The sequence below is a fragment of the Homo sapiens genome, chromosome 19, assembly GCF_000001405.40.
Source record: "Homo sapiens chromosome 19, GRCh38.p14 Primary Assembly".
In the NCBI taxonomy this organism is placed as follows: Eukaryota; Metazoa; Chordata; class Mammalia; order Primates; family Hominidae; genus Homo; species Homo sapiens.
The window spans coordinates 56,704,169-56,722,309 of NC_000019.10; the positions used below are offsets into that span (position 1 = coordinate 56,704,169).

General features: G+C 42.2%; 2 long non-coding RNA genes across 3 annotated transcripts in view; one reads left to right on the forward strand and one right to left on the reverse strand.

The window, feature by feature from the left end:
• Nucleotides 1–6,607, forward strand: part of LOC105372473 (uncharacterized) — a 38,797-nt gene extending 32,190 nt beyond the window's left edge. Inside the window, exons 4-5 of one of the 2 annotated variants that reach the window (XR_001754023.3) lie at nucleotides 2,611–2,746; nucleotides 5,631–6,607. This is a non-coding gene — a long non-coding RNA (uncharacterized LOC105372473). The remainder of the gene's footprint in view (nucleotides 1–2,610; nucleotides 2,747–5,630) is intronic. The other variant, XR_936110.4, reaches the window with a different exon arrangement.
• LOC105372472 (uncharacterized) overlaps nucleotides 1–18,141 on the reverse strand; it is a 69,204-nt gene that overhangs the window by 14,887 nt on the left and 36,176 nt on the right. The window lies entirely within an intron of this gene.

Genomic DNA, 18,141 nt, shown 5'->3' on the forward strand with positions numbered 1-18,141 from the left:
TATATTTAGAAAACCTAAATATCCCACCAAAGAAGACTGTTAAAACTGACGAATGAATTCAAGAAAGTTGTATGATACAAAATCAAAATGTAATAGATAGTAGATTTTTATATGCCATCAGTAAACAATCTGAAAAGGAAATCAAGAAAGCAATCCCATTTGCAATAGCTACAAAAAATTACCTAGAAATAAATTTAAATAAAGAAGCGAAAGATCTCTACAATGAAAACTATAAAACGGTGATGAAAAATATTAAAGAAGTCACAGAAAAATGGAAAGATATCCCATTGTGATGGGTTGAAAGAATTAATATTGTTAAAATTTTCATACTACTGCAGCAATCTACAGATTCAATGCAATCCCTATCAAAACACCAGTGACATTTTCCACAAAAATAGAAAAAAAATCCTAAAATTTGTATGGAACCATAAAAGACCCTGAATACTGAGCAAAGAGAACAAAGCTGGAGACATTACACTACCAGACTTCAAAATATGCTGCAAAGCTATAGTAACAAAAACAACATGGTACTGGCATTAAAAAACAGGTACATAGGCTGGGCGCGGTCATTCACACCTGTAATCCCAGCACTTTGGGAGGCCAAGGCTGGTGAATCACCTGAGGTCAGGAGTTCGAGACCAGCCTGGCCAACATGGTGAAACCCCATCTCTACTAAAAATATGAAAAAACTTAGCTGGGTGTGGTGGCAGATGTCTGTAATCCCAGCTACTCAGGAGGCTGAGGGAGGAGAATCACTTGAACCCTGGAGGCGGAGGTTGCAGTGAGCTGAGATCACACCGTTGCACTCCAGTCTGGGTGACAAGAGTGAAACTCCATCTCAAAAAAAAAAAAAAAAAAATCAGAAAAAACAAAATAAAACAAAAAACATGTAAATATATCAATTAAACAGAGAATAAAGAAATAAATCCATGCATTTTCAACCAACCCATTTTCAATAAAGGCACCAAGAACATACACCAGAAAAAGGTGGTCTGTTACATAAATAATGCTGGGAAAACTGGATATTCTTATGCAGAAAGAAACTAGACCCCTATCTCTGACCACATAAAAAATTGATCAAAATAGATTAAAGAGATAGATGTGAAACTATGCAACTGCTAGAAGAAAGCATTTGGGAAGTGCTTCAGGACATTGGTCTGGGCAAATACATTTTGAGTTGACCTCCAAAGGACAGGCAACTAAAGCAAAAATGGGACTACATCAAGCTAAAAAGCTTATACACAGTAGAGGAAAAAATAGCAAAATTAAGAGAAATCTACAAAAGAGATACCTGCACTGTCATGTGTATTGCAGCACAATTGAGAAAAAGCCAAGTTATGGAATCAACCTATGTGTCCACCAATGAATGAGTGTGAAAGGAAATGTGGTAAATATATATATATGTATATGTATGTATACATATATATATATAATGGAATATTACTCAGCCATAAAAAAGAATGAAATCCTGTTCTATGTGGCAAAATAAATAGAACTGGAGGACGTTATGTTAAGTGAAATAAACCAGGCACAGAAAGACAAATATGACATATTCTGACTCATATGTGGGGGAAATAAAATTGATCTCATGGAGGTAGTGAATAGAATGCTGGTTACCAGAGGCTGGGAAGGATAGGGGGAGGGAGGGATGAAGAGAGTTCGGATAATGGGCTCAAAAATACAATGAGATAAAATGAATAAGATCTAGTGTTCAATAACACAGTAGGGTAACAAAAGTTATCAAGATTATATAGGGTATTTCAAACAGCTAGAAGAGAAGGTTTGGAATATTCCCACACAAATAAATGAAAAATGTTTGAGGTGATGAACATCCTAGTTACCCTGACTTGCTCATTATTCATTGTGTGCATGTATTAATTTATCACATGTATCCCATAAATATTGCAAAAATTATGTATCAATTAAAAAATCACCACCGTGGACTAAGGCCTGTCCATGGTGCTGAAGTGCATGTCAGGTCTGTGAAGAGACCTGATGCTACCTAATGTAGGCAAGGCTGACCTCAAAGTATATTAATAGAATAAATGGCAGCCAAGCTTTGTGTATTATAAGTGAAAAAGGAGACCCCAACTGGGTCATGCCCTGCCCACTGCCCCACATAAGGACTGGTTATATATTTATTTTATCACTCAATCATCTCTTAGCATATGACACATGTTAGGGACAATGCTGGTAACAGAGAAAACAGAACTAGTGCATATGTGGTCATAGCGTTCCACATTCCTCACAGTCTGTGGGTTTTCTGAAGGTGCAAAGCTGACAATTGCTGTTTATATTTTGTTTCCCCAATGGTTTAGAGCAGTGCCTGAACATAAAATGTATTGATTGCTAAATAAATGGGATTTCTGGAGATCCTGGCAAAATCAGAGCATATTGAAGGATGAATCAGAAAAAAAAAGAAGTAAGGGGAAAATATGGGAGAAAGGCAGAAAAGATTGGAAGAAGGAGGGGGAGAACATCAAAGAGAGGCAGAGTCCATTCACACAGAAGGAGATTCTAGGAGAGAAACAGAGAAAGGCAGACAGTCTGGCTCCAGCCACCTTGGCGTTTCACCTTCCCTGTATTGAATAAAGTTCAGGACCTTTGCAGGTGCAGCTCCCTCCACACCCTGAGTCTTCATGTGGCTCCATCTTGTCTCCAACCAGTGCTCTGAACAGAGTTCACCACCCAAGGGAGCCCTCTCTGACTGCTGTCCCCCGAGCACCTGCTTTGTTCCCTTCTTGAGGTTGGTGCTTTCTTTATTCACTTTCTGTTTACTGCTTTCTCTCCATTGGAATATAAATTCCTTAGAGTATGATAAAAAAGATGGACCTAAAGTTGTGAGTTTTTATTGGTCCTAGGTTTCTTACTGGAGGTTAGATAAGTCCAAAGGACAACAATAACAACCACTTCTCACTTTCCTGTGTATCATTATTAAAAGTATTATCTTCCTGCTTCTACTCTTACTTGGGAAATAAGAATAAAATGATAATGGGGTAAGAGAGTTGGAGGATACAGGATAGAAATGCAGTTATGCAGTAGGAATTCATTTGAAGGGAGAGAATGAAGGAGGTAATTTTCCAGGCACTGCTCAGCATCCTTGGAGAGGCATCATCATGAAATTACAGAGAGAACAGGCAGTGGAGAAGGAGCTGTTTCTCCCCAACCACATGCATCTGCAAGAGTGAGGAGTGGAACAGGCAGAGCCAGAGAACAGCAGAGTTGAGGTTTTCCAAGGAGGTACATGCAGCAGAATATGCAAGAGATTCGAGTGTGTCCAGAGGAATTTATCCTAACAATTGACCATGGAAGGTGACCAGATGGGTGTGAAGGTCAGTGAAAAATGGTTAAATAAAGACAGTGTTGGTCTCCAAAGAATAACGGGATGTAGTCCTTAGGTGAGAAAGAGGAGTCACTTGGAAAGTAGGACGTGATGTTGGAGATGGGATGCTAGAACTGAAGGCTTGGAGTGATTTTAGGCTAATGGGAGTGGATGGCTATGGGCATTTGGACAATAGCCATGGAGGAGAGAGGGTCCCTATATAGCTAGTCAGGAGTGTCAGGAGAATCATCTCCATTAGGGATTATCTACCCTGACATTATTGAAAATATGATTTAGATAGTTATTTGTGTTGCAGGGAAGGCTGCATTCTGCATTGTACATTGTTGTGTGTGGAATATGGTCTAGATAGTTATTTGTGTTGCAGGGAGGGCTGCTTTGTGCATTGTACATTGTTGTGTGTGAAATATGGTCTAGATAGTTATTGGTGTTGCAGGGAGGGCTGCTTTGTGCATTGTGCACTGTTGTGTGTGAAATATGGTCTAGATAGTTATTTGTGTTGCGGGGAGGGCTGCTTTGTGCATTGTGCATTGTTGTGTGTGAAATATGGTCTAGATAGTTATTTGTGTTTTGGGGGGAGGGCTGCTTTGTGCATTGTACATTGTTGTGTGTGGAGCAGCACTCTCGCTTCTACCCAGAGGATGTCAGTAATTCTCCTCTACTTGTGTCCAGACCTCGCCAACTGTCTCTTGGGGGCAAAGTCACTCCTAGAATAAAAATACTAATATTATATATTAGTATTTAACATTTTCAGCTGTTATAATCTTTTAAAAATGTCAACCTTTGTTTCAGATACAGAGGGTGCAAGTGCAGGTTTGTGACAGGAGAATACTGCACCCAGATATTGGGCATAGTACCCAATAGGTAGTTTTTCACCCCACACCACCATCCCCTGTCTACGAGTCCCCAGTGTCTATTATTCCCAAGTTTATGTTCATGTGTGCTCAGTGTTTAACTCTTGCTTATAAGTGAGAACATGCGGTATTTGATTTTCTATTCCGGCATTAGTTTGCTTAGGATTATGGCTTCTGGCTCCACCCATGTTGCTGCAAAGGACATGATTTTATTCTTTTTTATGGCTGCATAATATTCTATGATGTCTATGTACCACATTTTCTTTCTTTCTTTCCTTCTTTCTTTTCTTTCTTTCTTTCTTTCTTTCTTTCTTTCTTTCTTTCTTTCTTTCTTTCTTTCTTTCTTTCTTTCCTTTCTTTCTTTCTTTTCTTTCTTTCTTTTCTTTCTTTCTCTTTCTTTCTTTCTTTATCTCTCTCTCTTTCTTTCTTTCTTTCTTTCTCTCTTTCTCTCTCTCTCTCTTTCTCTCTTTCGATGGAGTTTTGCTCTTGTTGCCCAGGCTGGAGTGCAATGGCGCAATCTCGGCTCACTGCAACCTCTGCCTCCCAGGTTCAAGCAATTTTGCCTCAGCCTCCTGAGTAGCTGGGATTACAGGCACACGCCACCACACCTGGCTAATTTTTGTATTTTTAGTAGAGATGGGGTTTCTCCTTGTTGGTCAGGCTGGTCTTGAACTCCCGACCTCAGGTGATCCACCCGCCTTGGCCTCCCAAAGTGCTGGGATTACAGGCATGAGCCACCACACCTGGCTCACATTTTCTTTATTGAATCCACCATTGATGGGCACCTAAGCTGATTCTATGTCTTTGCTATTGTGAATAACATGACAATGAACATATGAGTTCATGTGTCTTTTTGGTATAGTAACCCATTTTCTTTTGGGTATGTACCCAATAATAGGATTGCTGGGTTGAATGGTAGCTCCATTTTAAGTTCTTTTAGAAATCTCAATACTGCTTTCTACAGTCACTGAACTAATTTGTATTCCTCTCAACAGTGTATAAGTAAGTGTTCCCTTTTCTCCGCAGCCTCACCAGCATCTATTGTTTTTTGACTTTTAATAGTAGACATTCTGACTGGTGTGAGATGGTATCTCATTGTGGTTTTGATTTGAATTTCTCTGATGATTAATGATAAAGAGTGTTTTCTCATGTTTGTTGAACGCTTGTGTGTCTTCTTTTAAGGAGTGTCTGTTCGTGTCCTTTGTCCATTTTTTCATTGGGTTATTTGGTTTTTGCTTGTTAATTTAAGTTTCTTATAGATTCTGGATATTAGACCTTTGTCAGATGCATAGTTTGCAAATATTTTCTCCCATTCTGTAGGTTGTTTGCTCTATTCAGTTTCCCTGGCTGCACAGAAGCTCTTTAGTCTAGTAGGGCCCACTTGTCACATTTCCTTTTTGTTTCAAGTAGTTAATATTTATTTTCTTTCTTTTCAGATAGTGTCTTGCAATGTCGCCCAGGCTGGAGTGCAGTGGTGCCCCTCCTGTTGTGAATGTGAGTAACAAACCATCTTTTCAATGGCAGTCTCCTGCTGACCTGTCTACCTGTTGTGTGTGAAGCTGTGTGATTCAAATCAGCTTGAATTACATTTTTGTGAGTTCTGGAAAACCCAGACACCATCTGTTCTTGTGTGCGAGTGTGTGTGTGTGTGTCCGTGGTTGAGGAAGTTTGGAAGACACCCCATGGTCAAACAAGGTGGAGTCTAGGGCCACTTTCCCTGCCACATGGCTATCTTATTAGAACCCTGCCTACCACAAATGCCCAATCCCAAGGGTAAGGCAAGACAGCAGCCCTGGAATCCCTCCTTTGGACGGTTCCAGGACCCTTCTCCTTGGATGCTCAGAGATGGGATGAAGAGCAGGTAAGGGAGGCGTGGGCTCAGGGCCAGAAAGCCTGGTAACCTCCCCTTCCTGAGTCCTGTGTCCTCCTCTGTAAAATGCAGACACTCCTGGGATGTCACTCACAGCCAGGGCTGCTGGGCTTATTGTACTCTGCAGTTAGGCTCCTGTCTGAGGAGATGAAAGGATGTGAAATCCAGCCTGTACCATCTTCACAAGCTGTATCCATGCCTGGGCTGCAGGATTTCAACCACAGCATAGCATTGACCTGTCCAAAAGCCCCAAAGCCTATCATGGCCATGTATGCAGTTATTGCTACTTGGGAAAAATTCTTATTAAACAGAAAACAAGCATAGGTGAAGATACCCATTTTGAAACAATCTTATTTTTTATCTTTTAATTTGAGGTGATGCTCATTGTCTTATAAGGGGCCTTTGCCATCACTAGATGGCATTCTTGCATCATGGAAAACTACACAGGAGCTCCTTTAAAAATCAATTTTGAACTGTGGCAAAATACACATCACATAAAATTTACCATGTTAAAATTGTACAAAGTACAATTTTAAAACGAATATTGACCATGACCATAGGTTTATAATTTTAAAAATTATTTATGTTTTCAGTTATTTTTCAACTTTTTATTTTTTAACTTGCATTTTAAGTCCAAGGGTACAAGTGCAGGTTTGGTATATAGGTAAACTGGTGTCATGGGGGTTTGTTGTACAGATGATTTCATTACCCAGGTATTAAGTCTAGTACACGTTCGTTGGTTTTCACAATCCTCTCCCTCCTCCCACCCTTCACCCTCCAATGGGCCCCAGTGTGTGTTGTTCCCCTCTGTGTTTTCATGTGTTCTCATCATTTAGCTCCCACTTGTGGGAAACAACAGGTTGTGTTTGGTTTCTGTTCCTGTGTTAGTTTGCCAAGGATAATGGCCTCCAGCTTCATCCATGTCCCTGCAAAGGACATGATCTCCTTCTTTTTTTATGGCTGCATAGTATTCCGTGGTGTACATGTACCACATTTTCTTTATCCAGTCTATCTTTTATGGGCATTTAGGTTGATTTGCCTTTTCGAAATATGCTAACAGGCATATAAGGTAACTGATCACTATAATTATTTTTACTTGTATAGTCCACTGGTGTGAAGGGCATTCACATTGTTCTGCCACAGTCTCCACAAACTATGTCCCATATTTTGTTAATCTTGCAATACTGAAACTCTGTGTCCATTAAACCATAACTCCCCATTTCCCCTCCCCTATCCCCTGGCAACCTCCATTCCACTTTCTGTTCCTGTGAATTTGACTATTCTACGTCGAATCTATTATACTTCTAATATACAAGTGAAATCATACAGTTTCTGTCCTTTTGTGACTGGCTTGTTTCACTTAGTGTAATGTCTCAAGGTTAGCTCATGTTGTAGCATGTGTCAGAATTTCCTTTCTTTTTAAGGCTAATAGTTCGTTGTATGGACAGACCACACTTAATGTCCCTCTTTATTCTTTGATAGATACCAGGCTTTGCTGCCACCTTGACTATTATGAGTCATGTTGCTATGAACTTGGGCATGCAAATATCTCTTCAAGACCCTGCTTTTTTTTTTTTTTTTTTTTTTTTTTTTTTTTTTTTAAGACGGAGTCTTGCTCTGTCACACAGGCTGGAGTGCAGTGGCATAATCTCGGCTCACTGCAACCTCCGCCTCCCGGGTTCAAGCAATTCTCCTGCCTCACCCTCCCCAGTAGCTGGGACTATAGGCACATGCCACCACGTCTGGCTAATTTTTTGTATTTCAGTAGAGACAGGGTTTCACTATGTTGCCCAGGCTGGTCACCAACTCCTGAGCTCAGGCAGTCCGCCCACCTCGGCCTCCCAACGTGCTGGGATTACAGGCATGAGCCACCGCGCCCGGCTGAAGACCCTGCTTTTAATGCTTTGGGCTCATATACCCAGAAACAGAGTTGCTAGATCATATGGGAATTTTATTTTTACTTTTTTCAGAAACTTTTATGTAGTTTTCCGTAGTGGCTGCCTTATATCACACCCTAACAACAGCACAAAAGTTTTCCAATTTCTCCAAAACCTGCCAATACTTCTTATGCTCTGTCTTGTGGATAGTAGCCATATTATTGAGAGTAACGTGATTTCTTTTCTCTTTGGAAAAAACATACTATTTATTTCACTTTTCAATATAGCTTAATAATAGGAGCTATGTGCCTGTTGGGCACTGCACGACTTCTCACACTTTGGAATCAGCCTGGAAAATGTCATCCTCAGTTCCTTGTCTTTGCTGACTTTTAGGTGGTACTTGCTGTTCTTCACAGCGACCACTGACAACCCAGCATCACAAATATGTGATGTGAGCAAAAGGAAATGTAGAGGGATCTAATGTGGAGACTGTGAGCCTCTGGAGCTGGTAGTTTGTGTGATGCATGATGATATAGAATATTGCTGTGGTTCCTTTCCATCGAAAATATAGCTATTCCTCTGCCGACATTTGCAGCTGTGAGAACAGAACGGCAGGAATGCAGTAGGTGTTCATTGGAGGGGTCGAGTGGAGGAGCTCATCTGGTTGCCAGGCATTGCTCAGTGTCCTTGGAGATGAGTTGCCATGGAAACAGTGAGGGGCAGAGAGGAGGGGCCGTTCCTTTCTAGCCAAGTGAGCTGCAGAGACGAAGGAAAGTGAGGCGGACGTCCCACAATGTCTTAAAAATCCTCTCCCATTGACACATTCAGATGGCCTCCATTTATAATTTCATGTATATCTGTTCTGCCTGTGGTTTCCAAAAAGCAGTTCAAGGCCTGCTAGGGGAATCAAGACCCTTTCAGTGTTCCAAACTATGTTTCTAAGATCAGGGAAATTGTATTTGCTTTTTTCCTTCCCATTTCCTCTGCATGATGTAATATTGCAGGTGTTTGAATTAAGTAGTCTATCCGGCCAGCAGTTTTTTCATGGGGAAAAAAAACCAGAACAGAATTAAAAAATCAGAGCATGTGGCTTAGAGTAAGTGCCATTCCTTTAAACTTTCACTTCAGTTACACAGACATTTACTCACAGACACACACACTTGCATGTGCACTGGATCAACATGGAGAAGGTGTGGGTTCCTGGGGCCTGCAGTGACCAATTTTTTTTTTTTTTTTTGAGACAGAGTTTTGCTCTTGTTGCCCAGGCTGGAGAGCAATGGCGTGATCTTGGCTCACCACAACCTCTGCCTCCCGGGTTCAAGCAAATCTCCTGCCTCAGTCTCCCGAGTAGCTGGGATTACAGGCATCCCAGCCACTATGCCTGGCTAATTTTGTATTTTTAGTAGAGACGGGGTTTCTCCATGTTAGTCAGGCTGGTCTCAAACTCCTGATCTTAGGCGATCTATCTGCCTTGGCCTCCCAAAGTGCTGGGATTACAGGCGTGAGCCACCACGCCCGGCCTTGCAGTGACCAAAGTTTCAGTGGTGCTGGTGTGAGCCAAGCTTCCAATTTTCACAGACACGGACTCAGGGGTGATGCTGCAGCTGCAGTAGTTGATAGCTCAGGGCCCATAACCAAGGGGATCTTTTCCTCCCTGCTTTTTATTATGGAAATTCTCAAAAATGCACAAAAGTAGACAGAATAATGTATACCCACTGTGAAAGCATTCAGCTATCTTCTCCTTTTTTTCCTTCTAGTTTAAGTAAAGTAAATCCCAGAAATAATATAATTTTACCTACAAATACCTCAGTACATATGTCTATCAGATCATAATTTAACATAATATATTAAAGGAATTTGCAAAAATGTAAAATAATGCCACCTGTATTACTATTTTTTTTGTTTGGAATATGCAGTGTAATTATTGTTCAAAAAAGTGTGTTATGATAATACACAATAGATTTATTGCAAAATTTATTATTTTATTTTATTCATCTATTTTGAGATGGAGGCTTGCTCTGTCACCCAGGCTGGAGTGCATTGGCGTGATCTTACCTCACTGCAACCTCCACCTCCCAGGTTCAAACGATTCTCCTGCCTCAGCCTCCTGAGTAGCTGGGATTACAGGCACCCGCCACCATGCCCAGCTAATTTTTGTATTTTTAGTAAAGATGGGGTTTCACTATGTTGGTCAGGCTGGTCTCGAACTCCTGACCTCAAGTGATCTGCCCGCTTCAGCCTCCCAAAGTGCTGGGATTACAGGCGTGAGCCACCGTGCCACAATTTTTATAATTTTAAACTTAATATTTTCAAATGTCAATGTATAATATGGCAAATATACATAGATACAAATTGTAACCAACAAAATTAATCATAATTCCTTATTTATCATTTAATATCTAGTCCTACATTTCTGGGGAACTTTATAACCTTTTCTAAAATTTTAAGCAATGCAAGTAAATTACATCAATGCAAAAATATTTAACTTTGTTCAAGTTGAAATCACGGGCACCTAGTGGGGCAACCTGAGGCAGAGGCAGCAGACGCTGGGATCCACAACTGAGTTAAGACCACAAGGCAACTTCCTCAGGCTGCAAATCCCAACCCGAGCCGACATGAAAATGCTCACAACTGAGAATGATGGTTTCCAGCTTCATCCGTGTCCCTACAAAGGACATACACATGTATACATAGGTAACAAACCTGCACGGTGTGCACATGTACCCTAGAACTTAAAGTATAATAAAAAAATACATATATAAAATAAAAATAAAAATAAGGGCCGGGCGCAGTGGCTCACTCCTGTAATCCCAGCACTTTGGGAGGCCGAGGCGGGCGGATCACGAGGTCAGGAGATCGAGACCATCCTGGCTAACACGGTGAAACCCCGTCTCTACTAAAAATACAAAAAAAAAAAAAAATTAGGTGGGCACAGTGGTGGGCGCCTGTAGTCCCAGCTACTTGGGAGGCTGAGGCAGGAGAATGGCGTGAAGCTGGGAGGTGGGGCTTGCAGTGAGCCGAGATCGCGCCACTGCATTCCAGCCTGGGCGGCCGAGCGAGACTCTGTCTCAAAATAAATAAATAAATAAATAAAACTTTTAAAAAAAGCTTGAAACCTAAAAAAAAAATTAAAAAAAAAAATGAAGATATGCTAACACCACCCCCCCCCCCCCCCGCCAAAAAATGCTCACAACTCCATTTAAGCGTACATCTGAGTTTCTTACGGAAGGGAATTACATCTCGAGGGGATAGTGGCACAATGCGGGGGACTGGGTCTATTTCGTAGGTAGGAGCCTTATTCTCCAAACTCCAAATCAGGACTTGCAGGCTGAAAACTACCGTTTACTCTGCAGACATCAGGGCAGGAGAGCAGCCCCCAGCTGATCACCTCTACACCCCAGGCCCCCACCTCTGTCGGCCAGTGGACTTCTCTGTCAATGTGCTCATTGCTTCAGGTGAAACCAGCACTGATTCATGTCCCCGTCAGCTCCTCAAGGCCCTCAGCTCTTCCTCAATGGAAACCAAAAACTATGTGAGTCTGGTCTCAATCACTTGAGAAGTTTATTGGCCGGGCCTGGTGGCTCACGCCTGTAATCCCAGCACTTTGGGAGGCCGAGGCGGGTGGATCACCTGAGGTCAGGAGTTCAAGGCCAGCCTGGCCAGGATACACACTGCCACATTACTACAATGCTATTGTTCTGGCTGAGAAAACAATACTCCAGAAGCAACCTCAGACACAAACGTTTTTCCTTGACCATCTCCTATCCTCCTGTCATTCAGCCCCATTCTTCCCTTGGGCTAGCCATAGAAACTAGAATCCCTCCTTTAAGGTGGGCGATAGAAACCAGAATGCCTTTTCCCCAAAGCCAGTTATAAAATCCAAAAATATTACTTTAATTTTCCATCCATCCTTCTGTTGAAAAACTGGCCATAAAGAAACCTGGCTGGGCGCCGGTGGCTCATGCCTGTAATCTCAGGATTTTGGGAGGCCGAGGCAGGCAGATCACTTGAGGCCAGCAGTTTGAGACCAACCTGGTCAACATGGTGAAACCCCGTCTCTACTAAAAATACAAAAATTAGCCAGGTGTGGTGGCTCATGCCTGTAACCCCAACTACTCAGGAGGCTGACACACGAGAATCCCTTGAGCCTGGGAGACAGAGGTTACAGCAAATGCTGAGATTGCGCCACTGTACTCCAGCCCAGGAGACAGAGCAAGACTCAGTCTCAAAAAAAATAAAAATAAAAAAATAAAAATAAAAAAAATGTCTGATCTACCTTGTCCGACTGTAGGTTACAAGACCCTCATTCCAGAGAGTGTCCCTGCACAAAGAGGCCAAGGAGAATCTAAGCAGACAAACCTCATGGGTTTCCCCACTCAGTCCACTAGCATTAAACCAGACCCTTAGCATCCAGTATTTCTACGTGGCTCTCCACACTTTGTAGAACCTAAGCATAAAAATGGGCAATTTCTCCCGTATCTTTGGGTGTTCATTCTTAAAGTTCCCATGCGTACATTTGTTTTTTTTTTTTTTTTTTTGAGGCAGGGTCTCGCTCTGTTGCCCAGGCTGGAGTGCAGTGGTGTGATCTCAGCTCACTGCAAACTCCACTTCCCGGGTTCAAGAGATTCTCCTGCCTCAGCCTCCCAAGTAGCTGGGATTACAGGTGCACACCACCACACCCATCTAAGTTTTGTATTTTTAGTAGAGATGGGGTTTTAGCATGTTGGCCAGGCTGGTCTCAAACTCCTGACCTCAGGTGATCTGCCCACCTTGGCCTCCCAAAGTGCTGGGATTACAAGGTTGAGCCACTGCGCCCGGCCTCCATATGTACGTGTTAAGTAAGCTTGTTATACCTTTTCTCCTATTAACCAATCTGCTTTATGTCACTGATTTTCAGTGAACCATCAGGAGGCCAAGGGCCTTGGCCCCTACACCATCCCATTGTTCCTATGGCTTTGAATTCTCATGGGAAATGTAATCCAGGCCTGTCTGATTCCTTGATTTGCCAGGCTGCCTACCCTGATTAACCCAGCGAAGGAATTTCAATGGCAAGTGTGCTTGGACTCCAGTGACCCGGGCTTGTCGAGATCGCCTCTAGCATAGGATCAGTTTAGAATTCTCAGAAGAGAAGGTAACATGTAGATTCCCAAGATTACAAATCCTAACTTTCATTATGTGGGTGATCATGGGCTAGACACCTCCCTTTTCTGAGCCTCATTTTCTTTTTTTTCTTTTTTCTTTGTTTGTTGTTGATGTTGTTTTGAGGCAGGGTTTCACTCTGTCACCCAGGCTAGACTGTAGTGGTGTGATCATGGCTCACTGCAGTCTTGACCTCCTGGGCTCAGGTGGTCCTCCCACCTCAGCCTCCTGAGTAGCTGGGACTACAGGTGAGTGCCACCATGCCGAGCTAATTTTTGTATTTTCTTGTAGATAGGGGGTTTTGCTATGTTGCTCAGGCTGGTCTTGAACTCCTGGGCCCAAGTGATCTACCCACCTCAGCCTTGCAAAGGGCTGGGATTACAAGTGTGAGCCAATGCGCCCAGACCCTCTGAGCCTCATTTGTTTTTACCTGTCAATGAGTGATAGACATGGGTAAAATTTTGACACAATGCCCAATACATTGTAAGCAATTAATAAATATTAGTTGGGTGTTTTTGTATTTCTAACATAATATAAAATACAATTTTAATTTAGTAATATGAGCCAATGAGTGTTAGAAATGGTAATTACCTTCTTTGTGATGTTTTCTCCATCCGCTGCTTTCACAATTGTTACAAGCTCCACCTCAACACTGTCATAATAATAGTGCTAGTAGGCCGGGTGTGGTTGGTCACGCCTGTAATCCCAGCACTTTGGGAGGCCAAGGCGGGTGGATCACAAGGTCAGGAGTTCGAGACCAGCCTGGCCAATATGGTGAAACCCCGTCTGTTCTAAAAAAATATAGAAATTAGCCGGGCGTGGTGGCAGGCGTCTGTAGTCCCAGCTACTAAGGAGGCTGAGGCAGGAGAATCGCTTGAACCCGGGAGGTGGAGGTTGCAGTGAGCCGAGATTGTGCCACCGCACTCCAGCCTGGGTAACAGAACGAGACTCTGTCTCATAATAATAATAATAATAATAATAATAGTGCTAGTACTCTTGTCCACATCTCTCATGGTGATGTAACTGACTGCCTGTTTCCCACACCACTCCATCAGAATTTGGGCTGTGTCCCTAAAACCTGTATTACCAGCATTTTGCACTTGTAAACCAGGTAAATAGTTCCCTGGTTAAGCACCTGATTTAAAAATCAGCACAGCCCAGCCATTGACCACGACCTGTCCATGGTTCTGAAAGGCACGTCGAGTCTATGGACTCACCAACTGGCAACGGAGATTGTTGATGCTAACTTGTGCAAAGGTGACCTCAAAGTATATTTCTGTAGGGTCCAGCCCCACAGGGTCGGTGGGTCTCTCCCCATGTGTGGAGACGAGAGAGTGTAGAAATAAAGACACAAGACAAAGAGATAAAAGAAAAGGCAGCTGGGCCAGGGGGACCACTACCACCAAGTCGTGGAGACTGGTAGAGGCCCTGAATGCCAGGCTGCACTGATAGTTATTGGATACAAGACAAAGGGGCAGGATAAGGAGAGTGAGCCATCTCCAATGATAGGTAAGGCCACGTGGGTCACGTGTCCACTGGACAGGGGGCCCTTCCCTGCCTGGCAGCCAAGGCAGAGAAAGAGAGGAGACAAAGAGAAAGACAGCTTGCGCCATTATTTCTGCATATCAGAGACTTTTAGTACTTTCACTAATTTACTACTGCTATCTAGAAGGCACAGCCAGGTGTACAGGATGGAACATGAAGGCGGACTAGGAGCGTGACCACTGAAGCACAGCATCACAGGGAGACGGTCAGGCCTCCGGATAACTGTGGGCGAGCCTGACTGATGTCAGGCCCTCCACAAGAGGTGGAGGAGCAGAGTCTTCTCTAAACTCCCCCGGGGAAAGGGAGACTCCCTTTCCCGGTCTGCTAAGTAGCGGGTGTTTTCCTTTGACACTTACGCTACCGCTAGACCACGGTCCGCCTGGCAACGGGCGGGCGTCTTCCCAGACACTGGCATTACCACTAGACCAAGGAGCCCTCTGGTGGCCCTGTCTGGGCATAACAGAAGGCTCGCACTCTTGTCTTCTGGTCACTTCCCACTATGTCCCCTCAGCTCCTATCTCTGTATGGCCTGGTTTTTCCTAGGTTATGATAATAGAGCGAGGATTATTATAATATTGGAATAAAGAGTAATTGCTACAAACTGATGATTAATGACATTCATATATAATCATATCTAAGATCTATATCTGGTATAACTATTCTTGTTTTATATTTTATTATACTGGAACGGCTGGTGTCCTTGGTCTCTTGCCTCGGCACCTGGGTGGCTTGCCACCCACGTATTTCAGGAATAAATAAAAGCCAAATTTTGTTGTGTTGTAACCAAGAAGAGAAAGCCCCAATTTGGTCATGTCCTGCCCACAGCCCCACATAAAGATGAGTTAGGTGTGTGTTTCTCACATCAACAGCCCCTTAGCATGTGCCATGTGTTATGGATACTGCTGGGATGGAGGAAAGATGGCAGAAATAGTGCATATATAATCCTGCATTCAAAACTCCTCACAGTCTGTGTGATAGAAAGAATGAATGGCAGGGCGCTGTAGCTCATGCCTGTAATCCCAGCACTTTGGGAGGCTGAGGTGGGGGATCACTTGAGGTCAGGAGTTCGAGACCAACCTGGCCAACATGGTGAAACCCCGTCTCTACTAAAAATACAAAAATTAGCCGGGCTTGGTGGTGGGTGCCTGTAGTCCCAGCTATTCAGGAGGCTGAGGCAGGAGAATCGCTTGAATCCGAGAGGTGCAGGTTGCAGTGAACCGAGATGGCGCCACTGCAATCCAGCCTGGGTGACAGAGCAAGACTCTGTCTCAAAAGAAAGAAAAGAAGAGAAAAGGAAAAGAAGAGGAAGAAAACAAAAGAAAAGAAAGGAAAGAAAAGGAAAGGAAAGAAAAAGAAAGGAAAGAAAAGAAAAGGAAAGAAAAGGAAGGAAAGAAAAGGAAAGGAAAGAAAATAACCCAAAATAATGGGCTTCTGAGGTTCCAGGTTGTTAATGGGGATTGAATAGGTCCAAAAAACCCACCAAAACAACTATATCTTCTTTCCTGTTGAACATTTAAAAATATTCTTTTAACATTTCTACTTTTGTATGGGAAATAGAAATCTGATGACAATGGGGAGAGAGTGTTGGAGGCTTCAGGATAGAAAGCCTGCAGTGGACTATGTATTCATTGGAGAAGAGAATGGAGGAGCTGGCCTGGTTGCCAAGCAACGCTCGGTGCCCCTGAGATTGGAGATGACTCACCAGGAAATTAGAGTGAGCGCAGGCAGTGAGGGAGAGGCTGTTGTGCCCCATCAAGAGCAGCTTCAGGACAAAGAAAAGTCATGTGAATGTCCTGCAGTTTCTCTAAAAAAATAGCCTGTTTGTTGTACATTCAGATGATCTCCATTTATAACTTTATGTCCATTACTTTTATATATCTTAGCCCACTAGTTCCAAAAATGTAGTTTAAAAACTTCTGGTGGGGCGGGGGCGGGAATCAACTTCCTTTTAAAGGGTCCAGAATTCCAAACTATTGTGCTAAGAACGTTAAGATTTTATTTTCCTATTTCCATCTCATTTTCTTCATGATGTAGTATTGTGAGTATTTGACTTACTGAATTTGAGAATCTGTCTTGTATTAAAGGGTTTTATTGCAAAAATATGAAGCAATGCTACCTATATTACTGTGTTTTGTTTGGAAAATATAATCGTTGTTCATAAAAAACATGTTTGTTAACAAATAATAGGTTTGTTACATTTTAGAGTTTTAAGTTTAGAATTTTCTGAGCTCCAATTTATAATATGGTAACTGGGTAAAAAATACAAATTATGCAAATAAAAATTATCTGAGGATCCCCAGTTACTTTGAAAAATATAAAAGTGGACTGAGATTTAAAAGTTTCATAATTGCTCTCTTAGGTTAAGTACCTAGGTATCATCTGATTGGGTGGAGTAAAGCACACCTTTAATGTTTTTGACACGTGAATTCTCGTTGCTGAAGTGATAGACAGCTGTTCCTCTAGCTCCAAATTCTCACGGGAAATGTAATCTAGGTCTGTCTGACTTTAATTAATTTGTCAAGTTATAAAATCAACCTAAGTGACCATCAACAGATGAAAAACGTGGTATATATATATGTGTGTATATATATATATATATATATATATATATATATATATACATACAATGGTTTATTATTCAGCCATGAAAAGAGTGAAATCTTGTCATTTGCAGCAGTGTGGATGGAACTGGAGGACATTATGTTAAGTGAAATGAGCCAGGCACAGGAAGGCAAATATCGCATCTTCTCACTCATACATGGGCGCTGAAAAAGTAGATCTAATGGAGGTAGAAAGTAGAGTGATGGTTTCCAGAGACTGAGAAGCAGGGAAGATTGGGCAATGGGTAAAAATGGTTAAACAGAAGGAATAATGTCTAGTGTTTCATAGCACAGTAGGGTGGCTATAGTTCCGAAGTATTTATAGTATATTTCAAAATACCTAGAAGAGAAGATGTGGAATGTTCCCAAGAAAAATAAATGAGAAATGTTTGGGTGATGGATAGCCTACTCACCCTGATTTGATCGTTACACATTGTATGAATGTATCAAAGTATCACATGTACCCTATCAATATGTACAACTATTATGTGTCAATTTAAAAAATCAGTGCAGTCCCATCACCGATAAGACCTGTCCATGGTGCTAAAAGGCACCTTGAGTCTTGAACTGATGGCATATGCCAAGTGTTTGGAACCATACTGGATACAGAGGAATGAATGCCTGTATGATCCATGCATTTAAACTTTTTTACAATACATGAGTATTCTGAAGGTACTAAGCTGGCTGTTACAAGGTTCATATTCTTATTTTTCCAATGGTCTAGAGAATTACCTGTACATAACGTGCTGATTGCTAATTAAATAGGATTCTGGAGACCCCAACAATATTAGACTATGTTGAAGGAAGGATAAAACAAAAATAAGAAAGAGAGGGGAAAATAGGGAGGGAGTAAAATGGAAGAAGGATGAAGATAACATCAAAGAGACAGAGCAGAGTCCATGCAGACAGAAGGTTT